The 25,311-nt window shown below is 36.3% G+C and overlaps 1 long non-coding RNA gene across 5 annotated transcripts in view; it reads left to right on the top strand.

Annotated features, from left to right (window-relative positions):
- Window positions 1–25,311, top strand: part of SLC38A4-AS1 (SLC38A4 antisense RNA 1) — a 268,904-nt gene that overhangs the window by 170,645 nt on the left and 72,948 nt on the right. The window contains exon 3 of one of the 5 annotated variants that reach the window (NR_125377.1): window positions 16,936–17,092. The exons of the other annotated variants lie outside the window; for them this stretch is intronic. This is a non-coding gene — a long non-coding RNA (SLC38A4 antisense RNA 1). The remainder of the gene's footprint in view (window positions 1–16,935; window positions 17,093–25,311) is intronic. 5 annotated transcript variants of the gene reach the window in all.

Raw genomic sequence — 25,311 nt, forward strand, 5'->3', positions numbered from 1 at the left:
ATGTTCTGTATCACTGGGATGGGAATTTAATGCTAGACAATTTAGGGTCATTATTATCATGCCAGGCACAACTGTCTTCAATTAGTTATGTCAAGGTGGGGATATAATTGTTGGACATGTTGGCTTCTTGTTTCATTCGGCTTCCATGCTGCATGAAGATTCCAGAAAACCATGATTAACTGGAATATTTGGGGAATGAAGACTTAAGTTTTATTTAATTTTTTAGTCAGCTTAAGTTTAAGCAGAAAGCACTTGGCTTTAGTTTTTGTTGAAAAACTTTCTAAAATAAGTTTATTTTCTTGCATCAAAAGGATAGCACAGTGGAAAGCTGTTTTCAATAGTTAAGAACATTACGAGTCCCTTGGGATCATTTTCTGACTCTTATAAAATGTTAACAGAGAGAGGGTTTTGAGATGAAAATGGATATGGAAACTAGTTAACAACTAGGCCCCTGGGTCAAACAGCTAGTTATCTCTGACTTTAAAAAGTGGACGATAAACTATTTATTGAGCACCTGCTATTTTACAGGGCATAGACTTTTCCCTTTAGGAGCCTCAATTCTGATGGGGAAGAGAGGGGTGTGTTTAAAAATAATTACTCTACAATGTTGTAAGTGCTTATGAAGGTATACAGCAAGTGCTATTGTAGCTCAGGGCAAGGAACTACCAATGGCCTAAAGGAGTCAAAGGCCTTCCTTTGGGAAAAATGATGGTCTGGGCCTTGACACACACATGAGTTAAATGGAGAAGAGGATGTAGGACATCCTTGATGTAATGAGTGAAACCTATGTAGGGCATGGTGTGTATGTCTTTGTGACAGGGCAAGGAGAGACTGGTAGCAGATGAGGTTGGACCAGCAGCCTGGGGACCATTTATACAGAATTCAAGCACTATTTTGCAAGTAAGGTATGACAGTGGAATAAACAATCTGACTTGTGTTTCAGAAAGATTACTCTTTTGGTGGTGGGAAAGAAGGACCGGAAGGAGGAAGCGACAATTTTGATAAATTATCCAGTTAATATTTCAAAAGAATCTTTTTACTGTTTGTTTATTGACCTAAATTATAGTTTGTATTTTTTATTTACCTTTAAGTAAGAAAACATTTCAGTTCTCTTCTCTTACTTAGGTGCTATGTTATTATCATCATTCTCAGTATTGGGAAACTGAGGCACAGTGGGCATGTGACTTCCCCGAAATTCTGAATTGAATCAACCGAGAAACTGACTCAAAACCAGTCTCGAAGTTTCTTCCAGCAACTACTAGACCACACTCCCCACTATTACGGCATATTTATGATATAATTAACTTTCAGAAAGCCATATGGCTTTCATTACAAAGACTAAAGGAATGTGCTTTTCATAACAAATGGCATATGGCCTCCAATAGCTCTTTGCTTGCATGTTTTAACAAAATGAACATGTACATGAATTAGATGCCTCAGGTCAGTTAACAAACTGAAGTTGATTTTCTTTTGCTCTCCCTAATTACAGCTGCATTTCTGACAAATATCAAGGAGTTTTTTGGCAGCCTGTAGGTGCAAAATACATAGCACCTTTTTCTCTTATGGCATTGCTCCTTTAAAGAGTCAACATTTTTCTCTTATTCACAGTGGAGTGTGCCGTTTGTGGAAATGGAGTATTTTTGATGAAGCTGCATGCTTTCAGAATGGTGGAAAATTTAATTGACTTAAATGATACAAAAGGCAAAGGAAAAAACTAAATGAAAATCATTGAGACAAAAGTTGACATTTATCTTTGGTCACTTACATGATGCAGAGGAGAGAGTACATGATAGATGCTCACATGCTGAACTAATTTAACAGCAGTTAAGCGTGAGGGCTCACTCTTAATCTCTTAGAGTTATTTAGAAGCCTTTCTATTTTAGGTAACATGCCTTAAAGTTCTGCTCCCTTAGTTCGCACTGTGCCTCATCCTATTGTTTATTTAGCAGGTTTTTTAATAGAGTCTGAGAATGAGCTTCTTGCAACTTTCACATTATCATATTACAACATTCACCACTGATTATCTGTACTCAAGGTCAATGACATTATCTCATTGGAATTCCCTGGACTCTGGATTTATAATAAGATAGTCCAAAATGCTCTTGTCTGTGATGGAAAAATACAACACAATTACTGTAAGTCAGTTGGTTCTTAAAGTGTTTGAGTTTCAAATTTGGCTACTCATCATATTGGCAAATTGCTTACTTTTCTTTTAAATGCTTGTACTTATATGACACCAATAAAATTTTCTTGATTAATGAAGTGGAAATATATCTACTATAAAAGGAAATTTAAAACATATATATTTCTGAAGTAACTAAAGAAGTAAAAATACATTTTAATTAATATTAAAGTATTTAAATCCTTCTATTCAAAAGCTCATTTCCTTAAGAACAAAGAAAACACATAATTTAGGATGATTTACTCATTAAGAATAAACCAAATGTTTTAAATAATCAATTAAACTTTTAGTCTCTTTTTTTTCCCATCTAAAATGACTCACTCAAATCCTATTCATACAAAAGGAAAGTGTTAATTTGTATCCTAATTCACCTTATATTTACTATAATGTATATTTCTTCTTTGGACAAGTCATAGCTTCTCCTTTCATAAAATAATATCTTCCATTATGTTACAATTACAAACTATGGCTCATAGGACCGGTGAATCATAGGGTTGGATGGAATAAGCCCTTCAGCAGTCATTTTCACCTCCAGGGCATCTCTAAACCATGAGTTGAACAACAAGGCGAGTGAGTAAGGTACACTTTCAGTCAGAAATACAGCTTTGGCTAGATGGAAAAAAAAAGAGTAAATCTGGGAACTCTTTTTCTCTTTAGCAAAATACGTCTTTCTTTCTTTTTGTCAAAGTGAATCTTATTTCAAACTGATATCATTAGAATAATAACCCCACGACAAAAATTGTTGTGTGAGACCATTTAGATTCACTTCATATGTGAGAATCGGATGCTAGCATCTGTAAGACATGAGATAAGCAATGTTTGAAGACAGCAGATTCTGCCCCCACCTATGTCAGCATAATTTATTACATGACTACAAAATACAACAACAGTGCATAAGTATAAAATGTGTAAAAAAATTAATGCTGCATACGTCTGTAAAAAGCCAAACAACAATTTAGAAGAGAAGGCAATTAGGGTAACACTTATGTACTAAGAAATCATTTGAAGTTGGGATACAATGTTATTTTCTTAACTGTCACAATTCACTCATGTTAAGACACTCCTATCTTGCTTTTATCCTCCATAGCATGTAAGGATAGTTACATTGGAGGGAAAACTTCGAGATGCTGAGCCAGGGTGGCTGACAGTGTGAGGAAGTCAGGAAAAAGTTTCAATCGAACCTGATCTCCTTGATCTTTATATGATGGTCTTTTCACGATTAAGCAACCATGAGCACGAAAGGAGAGACATGACTCACTCCAATAACCTTGAATAGTTGGGTTAATTTGAAATTTATATTCTTAAAAAGTTGTGATATGCAAAGACATAAACAACTGGTTTCTCCAGATTTTCAAATCCTGCTCCAAATTATTTTAACAAACACATATGTTATCATTTAAATGGGGGAAATGGCCAAGACCAACCCCAACTGGCTTCAGAGGAAGTTGGATACTGTAAACAGAAGATATGTTTTGGTCTGCTGAGCACCATTTTGGATCTGAATATGGTAAGGTAGTCTTAGTACTAATTTTTGTGGTTGGATATGCAGAGATTTCACTGGAATTGGGAAGATATATGAAAGAAGGGGTAGAGAAGGAGAAATGTTCATGGAAGGGGAGAGGAGCAGAATAGCCAGGGAGATGATGCAATACTGGGAAATCACAGAGGGTAAAGGCAGTGAGTGAAAATACAGGCGTTGGGGTGTCTGCAGGATTATTCAGCACTAGAATGTTTAATTGTCAATCAAGTGGTGTCTGTTTCTGTAATTGTAATGTATTCCAACTCCTCAAACTTTAGTAAAGTCTGTCATAAGAACCCATTTTTTGAGGGTTTTCTTTTGTTCTTGGATTGAAAATTATGGGAAAGGTTTCCTTCCATGTTGGGTGGAATAGGGTCAGCACCAACAGGAAGAGTGGTAAATGAGTAAATTAAGCAGAAGCAGGCATTTGGAGCCAAGGAAGTACCAGCTCTTCCTTCTCCAGCTTTCCTTCCCCCACAAATGTCTAGATATTTTGGAGAGGGTTTTGGTCTTTTACAACCCATGGGATGGATGTTTGAATCAAGGAGAGAGTAGATCCCAGATGATATTTATGCTATATTTATAAAGTCTGAAAATATAACAGTTCATTAAGGGAGAAAGTAAGGATGGAAAATTTTGATCTCTAGCACTCCTTTTTCTTTCATAGTGTTAACAGTGTAACACATGATATTGTTGGCATTTTCTTCTACAGACATACCAGACATTTAGCATTTATTTTTTATTTTTTTTAGTCAAGTCTGAGCTAGTCAATTATGTGTCTGGTAAACCAAAAGATATTACTGAAATCCGTGGCAACAGTTCAGGAACCATCTTGTGCACTTGCATTTATTGGAAGTATAATGGTAGGTTGCCTGTCTCTGTCGCATTCCTCATGGTACGCAGGGAAATTTGCTTGTATGTGAAAATATTTATAGGAAGCAGTTTTGTTTTGTGAGGCATGCAGACTGGTAGCTACATGTTTGAAGATACGCCCATTTTTCTGGCCCTTATCACTTATGAATAATGGCCGTGGGATAGAGTGAAAAAAGTATTAATAACTTAATGCTCAAACTTACCTTTTAAAAGGGCAAATTTCACATATATCTGAAGTGAAAATAAACCTGAAATATAATTTGTTTATGTTAAGTTAGAGTTTTTATGCACGTGCCTCCACTGTATTCTGCTACATTGGTAGTGGCAAAATATGCACATAAATGGATGAGAGAGAAATAGAGACAAAAGACAAAGGAAAGCAAAGATGTTTTAAGATATGGCATAAACAGCAGGTCTAATTTCTTTATTTGGTAAGTCTCGCATACTCTCTGTTTAACAGATGTGCCTCTCACTGCTGTAGCTTGATGTTCTGAGAGGATTCTCAAATAAAATTTATTTGATGGAGCAACACTCATATCATATATCTTGATATTTGAGAACCTTCCAGAAAAGACGAAAGTGTTCTAATAGAACAAGCTCCTTGTCTACGTATCTACATTTGGCCACAACAATGCTATTCTCATAGTTATGGGAAAGGCTGAAGGCCAAATTCGTGTCTGGTTTTGTATCTGGTCGAGTCCTTACATGCTTACATGAAGATTCAGGGAAAGGTTTAATTTTCCCAAGGCTCACAGAGGCAATTGTTTACTGGCACCAAATTATATTTCTGCTTAAAAAAAGATGACACAAACAGATACCATAGAAATCTAAAATGGCAGTCAAATATTAAGTGATTTTAATCCAAACAAATATAACCATAAAAACCTGAAGATTGTTATTAAATCTGGAAACATTATAACATTTTTTTTTGCTTTTCAAGATGAGTCTAGGACCACTTAGACCACAAAAAATCCACCTTGTTTTTGAGTTTGGAGGATATATCTCTGTGTGTGGCTTCCAAGGCTCCAAGTTTGTTCTAAAAAATCTACTCCTGTCCTGCGTCCTCCAATTCCTATTCACATAGGGCTGTGTGTGTGCATGTATGTGCTTGAACAATATTTTACACTTGCACTTAATGAAATTTACCCTCCTAAATTAGGCTTATTTTTCCAGCCTATCAGAATTCAGTAGCATTCTCATTTCTGCCTGGTTAGGATTTATTCTTCCCTGATTCTTTTCATTCACAAAATAGCAAATGTATCATATACAAATTCATTGAATCACTGATGAAAATGGAGAAGAAGGCAGGACAAAGAGAATCCTTTTATGGCACTGGTGCCCACCCTTCAGAGTGACATTGATCTGTTAACCGTCATTCTCTGGTGTGGTTGTTTAACCAGTTTAAAAATCACTTACTCCGCAAACATATTGAATGCTCCCTGAGCCAGGCTTTGTGCTGGGTGGTGGGAAAGACAAATGATACTATCCCTGACTTCAAGCAGCCCAAGGGAAGAAAGACATGAAAATGAAGAGCTGCAGTGAAGTGTGATAATGCCAGAGGTATATATTAGGCAAGGCACTTAAAAGCCAGCCTAGGATTTTCTGAAAAAATAAACTGAGGAGAGTAAGAGGTTTTCTGAGTTTGTTCAAAATATATAGAATTTATTTTTTCAGATAAATTTTAGCAACAGTTCATTACCAGGAAAATCCTATTAAAATTTTGATAATAATTGCATTATACTTTTAACTTAATTAATTCAATATCCTTATGCAGAACCATGATATGTATTTCATTACATCCCCATGTATTTTAAAAGGCAGTTTTTAGGATATTTTGTTTTTTGTTGCTTTTGAGAATAGGGATTTTTTTCTCATACTTTCTAAATATATTTTTGTGGGTTTCCAAGAAAGCCATGGGTCTTTGGCATATTTATCTTATGATTAGCTATGTTTCTGGACTCATTATTTCTAATGTTTTTCAGTTGACTCAACTGAGGTTTTTAAACCAAAAATCATTGCTTATAGATAATGATCATTTAATTTTTTCTTTTTAAACTACCTATTTGGTTGTGTATTTCATCACACTTTTGACTTTTTAGAATATTGTAAAGTAAAACCTTTGGTTTTAGTCACATACACTTGTACTTCAAGCACTCACAGTCCAGCTTCCGATGACTCTGCAGATGTGGGTTTCAGCAGCCAAGGTGTATTGCACCTGCTCATAGACCTTGGGAGTGTAACTTTCTCTGTTTTTACAAGATGTGCTCACTGCTTAATGATATCACAGATGCTGTTGCATTTTATTTCTAGATTCCAAGTTATTTTCTTGAATGTGTGAGAAATATAATTAGAAAATTAAATATTTTTGAAATTAAGAATAGAAATAAGTGGGAAAAAATGGACTGTAAAAAAAGAAAGGACTATTCTGTGAGACCAATTTATGACAGAGGTGATTTAACTTATAAATGCTTCATCACACTTTACCCCTAGGCGGGGTTGCCAAAATCATGAGCATGTTAATGTTAGCTGGTGCTTTGTGTGCTCAGAAGATATCACTAAAGAAGCCGAACACGGTGGTGCATGCCTATAGTCCCAGCTATTCAGGAGGCCAAGACGGGAGGATTGCTTGAGCCCAGGAATTCAAGACCAGCCTGGGCAATATAGCGAGACTGACCTCATAAACAAAACAAAACAAAAAACAACCAAAAAAAAAAAAAATAGATATCACTGTGAAAGGAAAATAAACCCCAGGAGCCCCAAATCACTAAGCCAAGGGAAAAGTCAAGCCTGGAACTACATCAGGCAAACATGCCTCCCATTTTATTCCTCAATAATACAGCTACAGGCTGGGTGCTGTGGCTCATGCCTCTAATCCCAGCACTTTGGGAGGCTGAGACAGGTGGATCACCTGAGGTCAGGAGTTCAAGACCAGCCTGGCCAACATGGCGAAACCCCGTCTCTACTAAAAATACAGAAATTAGCCAGGCGTGATGGCAGACGCCTGTAATCCCAGCTGCTTGGGAGGCTGAGACAGGAGAATTGCTCTGTTCTGTTGAATTTCACCCTGGCTATGGAAACCAATAGCTTATCTTCACAGGTGTGGGACAGAAAGTCATCCCTATGCTCATCTGAGACAAATGCATACCTGATTGCTTCCTCTGCCCTATTGTTTATGTAAAAATGCAGATTGACTGAGCCAGATTACATTGTGTATTCAGTGAAAGGCTGATGAAGGACTCAAAAGAATGCAACCTTTTGTCTTTTACCTACTTATGACCTGGAACCCCAACCCCCTACCAGAACCAATGACAATGTTACATATGCTGATGTCTCTTATCTCCCTAAAATATATAAAAGCAAGCTGTACCCCCACCACCTTAGGCACATGTTGCCAGGATCTCCTGAGGTTGTGTCATGGACGTGTTCTTCACCTTGGCAAAATAAACTTTCTAAATTGGTTGAAAAATAAATAAATAAATGCTTCATCAGTGATACATACGGATGTTACCAGAGTGATGTAATCTTGGTCAACAGATATTGCATGTCATTCAGTTCCTATTTTATGTTCTTTCCATCTACGTTCCTATTTCCTGGAATAGGAGTTGCTACAATGGCAGCAGCAGGCATCTTTAGTTTAGTTTTTCAGACATGAAAGGTACCTACACATATTTGTATCTTAGAAAGGTCACTCTGATAACACATTGAAGGATAGATTAGGGTAAGGCAAAACTAACAATAGCAAGACTAGTTAGGTGCTAAAGTAATACTGGAAAGAATGAAGAAGTGGGGCAGATCTGTGAGGTCTGAGGAGGTAGAGTCAGTTATTCTTGAAGAATGAGATGCAGGGCTGAGTAGATGAGAAATCAAGTATAGCTCCCCAGTTTTTTGATTTGATGATTGAGATACAGGGCAATACACCATGTGCTGCTGGAACCCACATCTGCGGTATCTTGGGAAGCTGGACTGTGGTTGTTTGAAATACAAGTGTCTGTGACTAAAGCCAAAGGTTTTACTTTACAATTTTGATGCCAATATAAGTAAAGAATAGAAGAGGAAAAGTAGGCATGGGAGAGAAGACAATGCATTCAGTTGTGCAATACTTTGAGTTTCAGATGCCTGTGTGACATCAAGTGGAAACGGTAGTTGATTCATGCATTTGGCACACAGGAAAAAACACAAATGCAACAGGCTTTCTATTCAGTCTCTTTCTTTCTCTGCGGCGCAAGGAAATAATGAGGGGCAGGAACACAGCAAGAACACAAACAGAACACAGTAAATGACTTCTGTATGCACTCAGTTGAGACTCTTCTACGGAAGTTTTATGTTTTTCTTTATTATGGTAAAATATACATAACATAAAATTGGTCATTTTAACTGTTTTTAAGTGTGCAGTTCAGAGGCATTAAGTACATTCACATTGTTGTGCAACCATCACTATCATCCCTCTCAATATTTCTTTTTTTAAAATTTAATTTTAAATTGACATATAATAATTGTACATATTTATGTGGTACATTGTGATGTTTTGATATATATATAATGTGTAGTGATCAGGTCAGGGTAATTAGCATATTCATAATTTCATTTTATTGTGTTGAGAACATTTAATATCTTCCCTCTAGCTATTTGAACCTATACATTATTGTTATCTATAGTCATCCTATAGTGGTATAGAGCACTAGAACTTATTCCCCCTATCTAGCTGTAATTTTATATCTTTTAACAAATCCATGCATGTCCCCACCTCTCCCTACCCTTGCCAGACTCCAGTATCCTCTGTTCTACTTTTTACTCCTAGGAGATCAAATTTTTTTAAATTATTATTTATTTATTTATTTAGCTTGTGTGAAAACATGTAGCCTTTATCCATTTATCTGTTATTGGATACCTAAGTGGATTCCATATCTTGGCTATTGTGAATAGTGTTCCAATAAACATGGAGGTACAGATTTCTCTTTAATATATAGATTTTGTTTCCTTTGGATAAATACCCAGTAGTGGGACTACTGGATCATTTGGTAGTTCTATTTGTAGTTGTCTGAGGAGACTGCATACTGTTTCCATAATGTCTGTACTGTTTACATTCACACCAACAGTGATTAAGAGTCCCTTTTCTCTACATTCTCACCAGTATTTGTTTTCTTGTCTTTTTGACAATAGCATAATAGCCATGCTAACTGGGGTACCTAATTGTGGTTTTGATTTGCATTTCCCTAATGATTAATGGTGTTGAGGATTTTTTTTCAAACACCTGTCGGCCATTGGTATGTCTTCTTCTGAAATATGTTTGTTCAAATCATTTGCCCATTTTAAAATTAGATTGTTTGGATTTTTTTGCTGTTGAGATGTTTGAGTTCCTTGTATATTCTGGGTATTAATTCCCTCATAGAAAAATAGTTTGCAAATATTTTCTCATATTCTGTCCATTGTCTTTTCACAGTGTTATTGTTTCCTTTTATGTGCAGAAGCTTTTTAGTTTGATGTAATCACATTTGTTAATTTTTGCTTTTGTTGCCTGTACTTTTGAGGTCGCAGCCATAAAATATTTGCCTAAATCAATGTTCTGGAGTGTTTCCACTGTGTGTTCTTCTAGTACATTCATAGTTTGGGGTCTTACATTTAGGTCTTTAATCCATTTTGAGTTGATTTTTGTATGAGGTAAGAGGTAGGGGTCTAGTTTCATTCTTCTGTATATGGATATCTAGTTTTCTTAGCATTGTTTATTGAAAAGACTGTCCCTTCCCCAGTGAATGTTCTTGTTGTCTTTGTCCATACCATTTGCCTATAGATACGTGGATTAGTTTCCGGGTTCTCTATTCTGTTCCACTGGTCTATGTGTCTGTTTTATACCAATACCATGCTGTTTTGGTTACTATAGCTTCATAGTATATTTTGAATTCTGGTAGTATGATGCCTGCAGCTTTCTTCTTTTTTCTATTGGCTGTTCTGGCTATTTGGAGTCTTTTTTGGCTCCATACAAATTTTAAGATTTATTTTCTATTTCTGTGAAAAATGCCATTAGTATTTTAATAGAGATTTCAATGAATCTGTAGATTGCTTTGGGTAGTATTATCATTATAAAAATATTAATTCTTCTATTATGAGCATGAAATGTCTTTCTATTTGTTTGTATCCAATTTGATTTCTTTCATCAGTGTTTTGTAGTTTTCCTTATAGTGTTCTTTCACCTCCTTGGTTAAATTTATTCCTAGGTCTTCTTTTTTCCATAGCTATTGTAAATGGGATTGCCTTCTTGATTTCTTTTTAATTAGTTTGCTCTTTGTGTATAGAAATGTTACTGATTTTTTATGTTGATTTTGTATCCTGCAACTTTAATGAATTTATCAGTTCTAAAAGTTTGTAGAGTCTTTAGTTTCTTTTCAGTATATAAGATTATGTCTGCAAACAGAGATGATTTGACTTTCTCCTTTTCAATTCAGATGCCCTTTATTTCTCTCTTGACTAGTTGCTCTGGCTAGGACTTCCAGTGCCATGTTGAATAAGAGTGCTGAAAGTAGGTATTCTTGTTTTGTTCCAGTACTTGGAGGCAAAGCTTACAGTTTTTTCCCCATTTAGTATAATGTTCACTGTCAGTTAGTCATATATAACCTTAATTATGTTGAGGTACTTTCTTTCTATCCTAAGTTATTGAGAATTCTTATTATGAAGGGATGCTGGATGTCATCAAATGCTTTTTCTGCATCTATTTTAGTAATCATATGGTTGTTGTCCTTCATTATGTTGATGTGATGTAACACATTTATTGATTTGCATATATTGAACCATTCTTGAATTCCTGGAGTAACTCCCACTTGAACATGGTGTATAATCTTTTGATATATTGGTAGATTAAATTTCTGGTATTTCATTGAGGATTTTTGTATCTATGTTCATCAGGAATATAGGTCTGTAGTTTTATTTTTTTGTTGTGTCCTTGTCTAGTTTTCAGATGAGGGTGATGCTGGCCTTGTAGATGGAGTTAGAGAGAGTTCTCTTTGCTTCATTTTTTTGGAATAGTTTGAGAAGAATTAGTATTAATTCTTCTTTAAAGTTTTGATAGAATTAGCAGTGAAGCCATCTAGTCCCAGACTTTTCTTTGCTGGGAGGCTTTTTATTACTGATTCAATCTCATTATTGGTCTTTTCAGGTTTTTTATTTCTCCTGGACTCAATCTTGGTATATTGCATGTGTCCAGGAATTTACCCATTTGTTCTGGATTTTCTAATACATTGGCATATAGTTGTTTATGGTAGTTTCTAATGATCCTTTGTATTTCTGTGGTATCAGTTGTAATATGTTTTTATTTCTAATTTTATCTATTTGGGTCTTCTCTCTTTTTTTCTTAATCTAGCTAATGGATTGTTGATTTCGTGTATCTTTTCAAAAAACCAACTTTTTGTTTCATTGATCTTTTGTGTTTTTTAATCTCAATTTCACTTATTTCTGCCATGATCTTTATAATGTTTCCTATTCTACTCATTTTGGGGTTTATTTTTTCTTTTCTAGCTCCTTGATATTCATCATTAGGTTGTTTATTGGAAGTCTTTCTCAATTTTTGATGTAGGCATTTATTGCTAAATATGTTTCTGATTAGCACTTTTGCTGTGTCCTGTAGGTTGTTGTATGTTGTGTTTCTTTTTTCAGTTGTCTCAATGAATTTTAAAATTTCATTCTTAATTCCTTTTTTCACCCAATCATCCTTCAGGAACAAGTTGTTTAATTTCCATGTGTTTAATATAAAAAATTAGCTGGGCATGGTGGTGTGTGCCTATAGTTCCAGCTACTCGTGAGGCTGAGGCAGGAGAATAGCTTGAACCTGGAAGGCAGAGGTTGCCGTGAGCCAAGATCACGCCACTCCACTCCAGCCTGGGCGACAGAGTGAGACTCTGCCTCAAAAAAAAAAAAAAAAAGTACATATATTTGTATAGTTTCAAATGTTTCTCTTGTTATTGTGTTCTGGTTTTATTCCACTGTGGTCAGATGAGATACTTGATATAATTTCAAGTTAAAAAAAATTTTTGAGACCTGTTTTGTTTTTGTTTTCGAGTCCTGAAGAATGTTCAACATGCTGATGAGGAGAATGCGTATTCTGTAGCTATTGGGTAAAATGCTCTTCATATGTCTCTTTAACCCATTTGATCTACGGTGCAGTTTAAATCATCTGATGTTTCTTGGTTAATTTTATATCCACATGACCTGTCCAAAGCTGAGAGTGGAAGAAGGTCCCCAGCTATTATTATATTGGAGTCTATCTCTCCCTTTAGAATGAGTACCATTTACTTTATATATCTGGGTGGTCCTGTGTTGGGTTCATGTATATTTACAATTATTATTTTCCCTTGTTGAATTGATCATTTTATTACTATATAATGTCTTTGTCTATTTTTATGACTTTTGATTTGAAGTCTGTTTTATCTGATATAAGTATAGCTATACTGGCTTGCTCTTGGTTTCTGGTTGCATGGAATATCTTTGTCCATCCCTTCACTTTCAGTCTATATGTATCTTTACAGAAGAAGTGAATTTCTTGTGGGTAGCATATCTTTGGGTCTTTTTTTCATTAAAAAAGTCAATTTAGCCCATCTATAGCTTTTAACTGGGAGAATTAAATCTTATACCCAAGGTTACTATTGATAGGTGAGAACTTACTCCTATCATTTTCTTGATTATTTTCTAATTGTTTTGTATAGTTTTTGTTTCTTGCTTCCAATTTCATGTTTACTTTTGTGATTGAGTGGCTTTCTGTGGTGACAAGATTTGATTTTTCTTTTGTGTATTGGCTGTATCAGTAAATTTTATTGTTTTGCTTTTTTTTATGATGTTGGTTTTCATTTTTTTCACTTTCAGATATAAGACTCCATTGAATATTTATTGTAATTCTGGTCTAATGGTAATGATTCCTTTAGTTTTTGCTTGTCTGTAAAATATTTTATTTCTCCTTTATTTTGAAATGATAGCTTTGCTGGGTATAATATTCTTGACTGACAGTTTTTTTTTTTTTTTTTTTCCTTTCAGTACTTTGAATATATCAGCCTATTCTCTCCCAGCTTGTATGGTTTCTGCTGAGAAACATGCTGCTGGTCTAATGGGGATTCCTTTATATGTGACTTGACACTTTTCTTTTGTTTTCTAGAATTTTTTTTTGTCTTTTACCTTTGAAAATTTGACTATAAGGATCTATTCAGGTTAAATCTGTTGGGGTTCTTTGAACTTCCTGGATCTGGATGTCCATTTCTCTCCCAAGACTTGGGAATTTTTTGGCTATTATTTCATTAAACATGATTTCTACACATTTTCCCTTCTCTTTTCCTTCTGGAACACTTATAATGAGAATATTTGTTTGCTTAATGGTGTCCCATAAATCCTATAGGCTTTCTTCATTCTTTTTATTTTTATTTTTGTCTGCCTGTATTATTTCAAAAGATCTATCTTCAAGTTTAGAAATTGTTTCTTCTGCTTGGTCTCTTCTGTTGTTGAAGCTATTGATTTTCAATATTTCATTTGTTGAATTCTTCAGCTCTAAGATTTTTTTTTTTTCGAGACAGAGTTTCACTCTTGTTGCCCAGGCTGGAGTGCAATGGTGCGATCTCAGCTCATCACAACCTCCACCTCCCGGGTTCAAGCAATTCTCTTGCCTCAGCCTCGTGAGTAGCTGGGATTGCAGGGATGCACCACCACACCTGGCTAATTTTGTATTTTTTAGTGGAGATGGGGTTTCTCCATGTTGGTCAGGCTGGTCTTGAACTCCCGACCTCAGGTGATCCACACACCTTGGCCTCCCAAAGTGCTGGGATTACAGGCGTGAGCCACTGTGGTTTTTAAAAAAATCATATATCTCTTTGTTAAATTTGTCATTCAAATCATGAATTATTTTCCTGATTTCATTGATTTGTCTATTTGTATTTTTTTGTATCTTACTGAGTTTCATAAGATTATTAATTTGAACTCATTTTGTGGCATTTTATATATTTACTTATGATTGTGTTCTGTTACTTAAAAATTATTATATTCCTTTGGAGGCATTATGTTTTCTTGCTTTTTTATGTTTGATGTGCTCCTACGTTGATTTTTATGCATCTGGTGGATCAGTTGCCTGTTCCAATTTTATAGAATAGATTTTATAGGGAAAGACTGATTATGAATGGGACTTGGGGTGCTGGTTCGATGGGGTGCATTGGCTTTGGTTTCAGGTGGATGTAGTAGTGTAGTCTCTGTGTAGTTCCTTCAGCCATAATTCACGCCAGTGACATTTGTGACTTTCTCAGTGGCCTAGGCTGAGATTTTGTGGTGATGGTGGTGTGGCTTTGCCATGGTGGGCTAGCTTATTTCTCAAGTCAAAGGAACATGTGTGCACATGGTGGCCAGCTTGAGTTCTGGCCACTAGGATTGGGAATGTTACTCCGGCCAGGGGCACAGGCATGTATTTGCTTCGCTGGCCTGGGGGCGTGTTTGCTGGGGTTGGTCTATAGGCTGTTTCTAAGGCCAGGGGCATATGCACACAGCTTCTTTGCTAGCCTGGGGGGTGTGCCCACCATGGGAAATCTGTGGAGCTGTTTCTCAGGCTCAGGATGTGGGCCACAGAGATGTTCAGCTGGCTTGGGGGAGCATTGCTAGGGGCTGTCTATAAGACTTTACTGAGACCCTGGTTGTTGGTGTGGGGACTTTGGGTATGCCAGGGGCATGTCTGGAAGGTGCCATGAGGCTGGTTCTCAGGCCTTGGATGTGGGTATGCAGCTTTACCACTAGCCTATGGGTATGCTGTCTGCTTGGTGACTCAGGGACCCCTCCTGATTGGGAGAAATGGCAAGCATTAGTTTGGCTGGCTCTAGGGTGGGTTTGCCCTGGGTAGGACTGCCAAACTGTTCCTCCAGCTGGAAGTGCAGATAGCAGGAGTTGCTGTGCAGGGCCAGAGTTGCAGCTGATCCTGGGCCTATGCTCTGCAAAGCTGGGTTTGTGGTGTTCAGCCACCCTTCTGAGCTTGCTGGAATAAAGATGGAGCCCCAGTGATAGAGAAGTGCACTGGCTACTTGATCCCAGAGGCGCGCACGCCTGAGAGGTGGCTCTGATCTCAAGGTGGTATGGTGATATAGCAGTTTGACTCACAGGAAGTGCGTGAAGGGTGGGGAGTGCGCATCTTACCCTCCCAATCCGGAGCAGTGCAGCTTTGTGAATTTCTGGCAGCTCTCCAAACCGGGCTCAGGGCTTGCAAGCACGGTGGGATTCTGTAGTAAGAACTGTAGGTGTCTGCGATGGCAGTGGGGCCTGGTGGGGATCTTCTGCTTACCTTTTCCCCAAAAGGGGAAGTCTCTCCTATCTACAGACTGATCAGATGGGGGTGAGGGAGATGAGGTTGCAGACTTTGCATCCACACTTTCCTCTGTGCTTCCAATTACCACAGCTGTCTCTCTACATCCCCACTGCCCTCCAGCACTCTCCTTTCAACACTCCATTCAAATCTTAGATGTTTTTTCACTGCTTTGGTCCTTTCTTGTTAGGGGAATGAGGGCCAGGTGTCTGTAGCCAGCCATCTTACTTATGTCACTCTAGAAATTTTTTTTTTTAATCTCCTATAATTGTTAGTGATGTTGAGCATCTTTTCATGTGCTTATTGGCCATTTATATATATTGTTTGGAAGAATGTCTATTCATATCCTTTATCCCATTTTTAAAATTTTTATTTGTATTTTAAGTTCTAGGGTACATGTGCAGGATGTGCGGGTTTGTTGCATAGGTAAACATGTGCCATGGTAGTTTGATGGACCTATCAACGCATCACCTAGGTACTAAGCCCAGCATACATTAGCTGTTTTTCCTAAGGCTCTTCCTCCCCCTCACCCCGCTCCTCCGACAGGCCCCAGTGTGTGTCGTTCCCCTCCCTGTGTCTATGTGTTCTCTCTGTTCAGCTCCCACTTATAAGTGAGAACATGTGGTGTTTGGTTTTCTGTTTCTGTGTTACTTTGCTGAGGATAATTATTTGTTTTTCATTGTTGAATTGTAAAGAAAAATTTTAAACCCTAAAGAGTTAAAGTCTGACCATTTACCCAATTGTGATTTTCATTATTTGTAACTAATAATTTTATTCATTTAGAAAACAGCATACGAAGCATTGAATTAAAATGTGATTAAGTAGAATGAATTTCAGGTACATTTTGCACAGATCTAATATTTCTAGCTATCTTTGCCTAGCTAGATGCTTGAGATGATTTTTCCACATAGTGAATCAGTGTGTATCCTTTTTGCCCACATTCACAACTATTTCTGTACTTGGCTAAAAGTTCTAAGAACTATGCTCAGACTCTTGTCTTGCTTACAAAAATGCTAGATAAATATATGCAAATGACAGTGTGTTTTCCACTTTCAGGATATATTTGGCATTAAACTCGGGACAAAAGAAGACACAAACTTTATCTTGTGGTTTGGGTCCTCCAATCCTCATAAAAGTGTGGTTTCACCTGTTACCTCATAAAGGTGCCATTGCTGTATGCACATCTGAATCTGTTTACAATTTGAGAATAGAGGTGAGAAAGAATGATTTTCTATTTTGTGACATTCGTATGGTCAAAATTTTTATGAAATCTCGCCATGAAATTTCCCTTTTCTGAAAATATAACATGAGAAACTTTTTTAAAAGAGTAAAAAACTATTTAATTACACTCGTGTGCTCCAAAACAAACCTGCACTCAATTGTTTGTAATTGGCTTAGCAGACTGATTTAGGGGCAGTAAATTTTAATAGATTTCGATGATATTCAGCTATTTCTACATTAACGAAGGGAACTATATTATTTAAAAACGCCCCAGAGTATAAAGTATTGTTTATAGAAGCATTCAGTAAAATGTTGCATTGTAAATGACCTAAAATTGTTTTCATATGTTACCATTTATTTATCCCCAGGCAGATTGTAAGCAACTCAAAGGAGCTGTTTTTAATCCCCTTTTATTGCATAATATCATGGTCCATGTACAGTGCTAGCTAAATAAGTGTTGCTGACTGATTGATCTGGGACTTGAAACTTTTAAATTTGCTATTCAAAAGTTGTTTTACACTTTGGGTGGAAGAAAAAGAGGCTTTAAGACTTACAATGTTTTGGTTAGACAACCAGTTTTAATACATTCTGAAGAATTCAAATGTGGGTAAGTGGACTCATGTGCTGTATATTCCAAGCATTCAGAAATGTTCTTTGGCTGTACCCTATTCAATTTCATTTACCATTCAGTTTTTTTTTATTATTATACTTTAAGTTTTAGGGTACCATTCAGTTAATGAAGTCAATATTTATCAGCCTGTGGTAGACAACTCTTTTTTTAAATCCACTTGCTTCTTATGTATGACCCTTTGAGGCTTTCCAAACAGCATCTTCAATTTTGTCTGTCATGGCACTTGTTTAGAACTAGAAAAATCTTTGGTATAAGCTTGGGAGAGGACTTCTCTCATGTCTTGCAAATTGAAGAGCCCCAGCTTTTTCTAGACCAACAAAGTGAAATATGTATTTCTAAACCTTGAGAAATACACTTTACAATACCACTTGAAATGTGGTTAACCTGAAATAAGGTATGCTATACATGCAAAAGACAGTGGATTTTGAGGAGTTAGTACCAAAATAATTAGAATATAAAATACTTGAATAATTTTAAAATATTGATTCCATGTTGAAATTATAATATTTTGGATATATCAGGTTAAATAAAATGTTATTAATTTAATTTCCCATTTCTTTTTTTCTATATTTCACAATAAAACAGAAATTTTAAAAAGACATATGTGGCTCACATTAAAATTTTACTGGATAGTACTGTTTTTAGAGCAGGGTCCCTCAATCTCAGCAGTATTGACATTCTGAGTCAGATAATTATCTGTCAAGGGTTGTTCTGTGCATTGTAGGATGTTTAGCAGCATCTCTGGCCTCTACTCGCTAGATGCTAGTAAATCTCATCCTCCTCAGCTGTGACAACCAAAAATATCTCTAGACAATTTCCAAATGTCCCGTGGTGCATAAAATTGTTTCTGGTTGAGAACCATCCTTGAGACTGTAAAGTAGTGCTTGTAGAGACATTCACTAGAATGTTGCTTAGACATGTCCTAAGGTCTTTTTCATGGGTTTCAGGTTGTTTTACCCAATAGATTACCTGCAGTGTATGGAGCATATGTTAAGTTCATTTTGCTGCATAATATATAGTGTTCCATGCACAGTGAAAAGTAAATAATTACTCTTTACCTCTTCCACTTTTTCATTCCCAATTTTCACCCACCCCCAACTCTTCTAGGCAGTTAGTTCACAAGGCAGAATGGGCTATCTGTCATACATAGTGTTTTAAAATTTTGGCATTTAGCAATCACTGTCAACAGTGTTGTTTTTCTGTACACAAGCAGTGCTGTGAGTCAATTAATCATACCAGACTTATTGCAGGGACAAACTCTGCAAATTAGCTGTCAGTATATTAACTGTCTGGGGAAGTGCTGAAGAACAGCCGGGACCCCTCCCCTGCAAGAGCCCAAAGACACTATAATAGAAGCACACTAATTTTAGAAGAAATGATATTTGTTTTGGCCACAGCTGTTGGCATTCCAATGGGCTCTCATTCTGTCTGTTGAAATGAGGAGGTAGGTTCTTTTAGAGGTTTGGTTCTGTCTGAGGATTTGGTGACATCATTTAGAGAATTACTAGGCTGTCAGCAAATATATTTTATGTATAGTGAATAACTATTTAAAACTGGTTTATAAGAATTAAGAATAGGAATTCTAAAAGCTAAGCAGGGGTTAGTTCTTAGAGGAAAATGCCTCGTTTATGAGAGCACTTTCCGAAATTGAAGTGGAGAGATTGCTTTTCTGGAGAATTTCCAGTGTCATTGGCCACCAATATAAATGAATATGCTGAGGGCAACAGCAGGTTTGCTGGCCCCATGGTTATATTTCCAACCTTCTCTTTTCCTCCTCAAATTTCATAACTTGCTAACAATTTATGTAGTTAGTTACAATGGTGGCACTATCTATTGAATACCACTGTTGTGATATAGAACACACTATTGTGACTTAAGAAAGCCCCTCCATCTGCTGCCACAAACTTTGTAGATTTTGCATTGCTTTTTGCAGGGGCCCTAAGGACTTCTGTCTCATATTGGACAGCAGGTCAATTTCTAGCTCACATTCTGGTTTACCTCCAGGTATGTTTAGCAGCTACTCTAACAGAGCTGTGATCATTGCCTATTTGTTTATCATCATTAAATGTATCGGTAATTGTGGTAGAACTCAGATCAATTTAGCCCATATTTAAAATAACAATTTTCCTAAGAAGCTAGATTCCTTGGCTTACTAGACCTTTCTTCCAAAATATATGTTATTTCCCTTTTTCTTAATATGCAAACTGGGTTTCTTCAATATTCATTTCCAGGGCTTTAAGTGTAGCTATTTAACTACTGATCTGTGATGTATACTTGGTCATCTTGTGTAGAAAGATGTTTAGGGGCAACTCTACCCAGAATACAATCATTTTTCACTTGGAATTTAGAAGTTTGAGAGTTTCAAACTTGGGTCACACCTAGCAGTTGCGCTTTAGATTATGATCTTAAACAATTAGTGTATCGGTTTCTGTCAAAAGATTATAAGTGCAGTAAGGGAAGGAAGCATGTATTTAAGGAACCAAGCATGCTGAAAAGTGTTTAAAATAAAAATGTTAAAGTATCAGAAAGCAGTAAGTTTTTTGTAGTAGTGGAAAAAGATGAAACTGATGGAGAGAAACCAGATTCCATACAAAAAAGTTCTAGTTCTTAGAATTGTTGATTATAAACCATAATGCCATCCCTCAGTCCTGGCTTTTAACAAGTGTTGAAAACATAATAGCAAGCCCCATCCACTTGACTCCATTATTAGAAATACTTGAATTTACCTCTTTTTATAAACTAAATCTTGGAAATGATGTTCTGACCTTAGGAAAAAAAAGGAAGAAAAGATTAAGAAAGCAAAAACAAAACAGCTTCACTCATACTCTGCCCTCCCACCAAAAAATATTGTTTTCATTGCCGTTTTAACTATATGAATAAGGTAGTTTAGAAACCATTATTGGAAAACAGTGAGACTGGAAAATTTAATCAAGTAAGTTTAGTGTCAGGCAGTCTGCAAATTGGCTAGGTCTAAACTTGGACATAAATCCAACGCATTTGGCAGTCACTTTACTTGGCTACATAAAATACAATTTTGTGTAATTTGAATGCTTTAGTCAATATTAACCTGTAACTGCCAATATGAGTTTAAATAACAAGGTTACATCAAAGTTTCAGGGCCACAAAGTGCTATTTTACTCCCAGTTTTAGTAAATTATAGAGTATTCTTCTTTGAGCAAGCAAGTAGATAAGCAATAATAGAGACACTGTAACCCACCTTATTTTGATTATGTATATTCTACCATTTTTCTAATTTTTCTTGGTCCTTCTCAACTTCCACAAATTTGTTTTTCAAAAACTCTGCTTGCTTAAAGAAGAATTTACTTTTCAAATATGCCTACTAAGTACAAAGCACATTCAGGTTTTTGAACTGTGATACCCTGAGCCACTTGTTTTGCCTTAAACTTTTGTCTTGCATTGATTGCTTTGCTTTACATTGCAATGGGCCCCTTCATATCAGCAAATCTTATTTTCACTCCACCTCCATGGCTTACTGAGATATAAAGCACCAGGAGATCAGTACTCAGTAACATTTATATTGTTAGTATTCCCTATGGTGCTACAAAGGTCATTCTAAGCACATAGCCAACCCAATGATATTGAATTGCCAATATTAATTTTATAAAAATGGGTTGTTGCTGTGTTTTGTTCTGTTCTATCTTTGATACTTATAACAACACCTGGCATACTATAAGTATTCAGTTAATAATTTTTAATAAATGAATTAACCCACAATGATAATTTATACTAGTTAGACCTTTCTAAAAAATACAGAGAATAGTTCATTCTAGCACGATTGTTGAGATTTGGGAATTCTAGACTTTTGGGAATTATTCACCCCTTTTTAGTATACTGATTTGATGGGCTTTTTATATCAATATTTTTTAAATTACTTAAAACACCCTCATGTTTATTTTCGCATTAGTGTGGACCTGGTCTTAGAATCTTCACCACAAAGAGCGTTCCAATCAAAGAAAGAAGAAGGAAATATTCCACTATGGGGGGCAATCAAACAACTAGCACTGCCCTAGACAGGAAATTAGGAAAATAAAGATGGGCACTAGCTGTAATTTAAACAAATTATATTTTTCTTTATGTGATAATGGGAGATAATTATCTCCCAAAGTTCTATTGGGTGAAAGAAAGCTGGTTTTGGTATTTTCTTATCTATTTGTCTATTAATCTTTCTGTCTATTCTATCTCTCTCTCTCTCTCTCTCTCTCTCTCTGTCACTTATCAAAAGAGGGCCAAGAATTGGACTTGTTCAGTGATTGTAGGGTCTGTCTTTTAAGCATATATCTGTTTAATATATTTTTGTTCATGCCACCCTTTACATAATTATAGCTAAATTTATTGAGTTCTTAATATGAACCAGCCATTTTAACTTGGAAAATGGAAAAAAAATCATTTAACCCCTAAAAAATCATAATGTTGATACTATTTTTATATTACTTCTACTTTACAGGTGAGGAAACTGAGGTTCGGAGTAGTCAATATCTTTGCTGAAGGTCCACAGGCGAATACATGACTGAAGTGGGATTTAAACCCAGTAGTTATTACTCCGAAGTTCGGTCTTTTAATGTTAGGATAAACTGCCTTAACAGCTTTTATATTATTGTTTGTGATGTTTTTTGTCTCTCTTACTTGATAGTGAGATTCTCAAGAGCCTAAACTGGGTCTTGTATATTTTTATACTCCTCACAATACTTCTTACAGATTAGTACCTTGAACATAGTAAGTGACCAGTACCAGATGGAAAGCAATGTTCGTATAGTTGAGAGTTGGAAGCCTAGGTATCATGGCAATTAAGAAACAACTTAGGGTCCCTGTAAATCTCACAGGCTTATGTGCATTTATATATATGTATCTTTTATTTTTTGCAAATTGAAATAATGCAAAAAATTAAGAAGAAAAAATAACTAGAATGCTAAAAAATTCTATGATTCAGTTTCAATCTACTGTTTTAGTCAATGCCCCACGTTTGATATTCTTTTTTTTTTTTTTTTTTTAACAGCAAGGACTTGTGAAACCAACTTGGAGTAGAGGTTTTCCAGGAATATTTAGTGAAGACTTGGGGGGAGTTGTTTGCTTTTGACTTGGAGAATAGAATCTGCTGCCAGTGATTAACTTGAGTGCTCTCCTGGAAGATGAGCTTTGACCTGGGGGTACTCAAAGGGAAAGTTCACTGTTGCTATTGTTCCAGAGTGGTGTAAATATCCTGCCAAAACTCTGGGTGAGCTAGACTCAGACACATTTTCTCTTTGACGTTAGAGTCAGACAGGCAGGAATTGGCCAAGGTGGTTTGTGCTTAGTGGCTTTCTCCAATCTGAACCCTTGCCAGTAAGGCCCTAAGGCAATCTCAAGTTAAATTCATATATTGATTTCAGATTTCCCATGTCTTGCACCATAGTTACACTATATACACATCTTATACCATGTTCACTGATGGGCGAGGTCGCTGCCTTAAAAGGCAATTCATATTCATGAACATACTCTTCTATTCTGCCTCTGTCCTTCTATCTCTGAGAGAGCCAGTTAAGCCAAGGTCTTTTGTATAGATTCAACAACTCTCCCTGGAACATGTCTGAACATGATGGTTCTCAGGTTTTGATTTGTAATGAGAAGTAGAACACTTATTTAGGCCTGGTAAGGTAGCTCCGCCAAGTCTAAGACAGAAAGCTCTTTGCTTTTTGCATCTAAGGCCTTTGACGGACTTTTAGTAGGATGGGTTCATTGGCTGTTTGGTTCCTCAGGAGCATGTAGGGAAGAGGGTGGGTTGATAGAATGGGATTTGAGTATTTTTTGGTTCCTGGTTATCATACTATCTAAACTGCACCAATTTATCTTTAACCTCAACAAATACTGTCAAAATTTATAACATTATCCCGAAAATTTCAGGGTTAATAAAATATAGAAAGTTCTATCTTAACACATGTTGATAAACAATAATGTGAGTTATGTAATCACACAAGAGTAGTTAGGCAAGCACAGACTGTAAATAAAATAGGTTTTTGGTGGATGGATTTATATAAATATAATTAATTTGTTGTTTAGCCCACGGGTATTTTTCCTCCCTTTGTGAAGTTCTGTTTAATGGAAACAGAAAAGTTCCCTGTTTAAGATGCATTTTAGGATTGAAATTTGTCATTGATTATGGAATGTGGTGAGGTGGAAAGAGAACAGGTCTGAAGGCCAAAAATCCCAGGTTTCTCACATCAACTTATTTTGTGAATTGAAACAATGGGCAGCATCACCATCTGTAAAGTAGAGGAATTAGCTGTGGTTTCTACACTGCTTTCCCCATCCAGCAAGCTATGTTCAATGTGTCCCTGTTTGAAAGGGAACACATCTTAGACTGAAATATGCTTGCTGGAAAACCTTGGATTTCAGAAATAGAAAAAAATTATTTATGGCTCCGAACATTCCCTCACCCCTCCTTCTCCTTTTGGTAAAATGTGGATGGCATAGTAAGGAGACTATGACTCAAGAGTAATGTCCTCAGCTTCGTGGAAATCATTTCTCATTTTCTTCTAAGGTTAGTGCCATTGGCTTAACACACTTTCCTCTTCCATTCTCAGCCTCCCCTTCAATTAATATCTCAGTAATAAGCTAGTTTACTGTCAAAAATCCCAGAAATAGCTTAGTCTTAGTTGCAACTCCATGGGCAACAAAGACAGTTTTAGGGGCCTGATTCCTCGGGGCCAAGCAGCCATGATGTACAGCACAGCATGTGTTCCTGCTGTGAGGACCAACGACAATGTGAATAGAAAAATGGTTAAGTGCATGTTCAATTTGAGACATGAAAGTCTCTCCAGAAATAAGTGCTTGTGGCTGGCTTTAACTAGGTATATGCTTCTGAGGTTTGTTCAGAGCCCCTTGGTGGAAATGCTGGACACTTAAAGAGACTGAGCCCATATATCCTGACCCCTTCCTCTCTCATTCTGTTTGTAAAAATAGCCTTCAGACTTGGCAATAATCTCAGTTAGTCCTCATTTGTCCTTTCTCTTGTTCTATGAGCTATTATTTATTCTGTATAATTTTTAAAAACTCATGTAAACAGGGTAAATAATGAAGTTTTATTTTAAAATGACCACACAAACTTTATAGAAATGTGTACCCACATTTAAATCTGGCCTGGCATATCCCCTTCCTCCTGCCTCAGCTGAGATCCTCCCCACCTGCTTCTGTTGTGTTAGTAGAAGAAAACACCTGGCATGGTTTCTGGCAGTGGAGCATGCAAATATAGTTAATTTCCAATTTTGGTCAATTTGGAACTTCTGATTTATTTTTCAATAAGAAACAAGCTAGCAAATCAAAACACACAGGTTTTTTTTTTTTCTTCTTCACAAGGAGAGAGTGTTGAAATAAGAGGTATTTTTCAGATCTCTATAAAATAGACTTTTTCATCTCCATTTGATTTTCAATTCCATGGAGGAGCAATCTCATTTTCCTGTTTGTTGAGTAGATTGTCCATGGTCCCATGACAACACCAGTTCAAGGCTAATGTTCCATGAGGGGACACAACTTCAGTCAATAATCATGAGCACATGTGGCTCCAGCCTAAGGCACACAAGCCTTCT

This window comes from Homo sapiens, chromosome 12 (assembly GCF_000001405.40).
Source record: "Homo sapiens chromosome 12, GRCh38.p14 Primary Assembly".
Taxonomy (NCBI): Eukaryota; Metazoa; Chordata; class Mammalia; order Primates; family Hominidae; genus Homo; species Homo sapiens.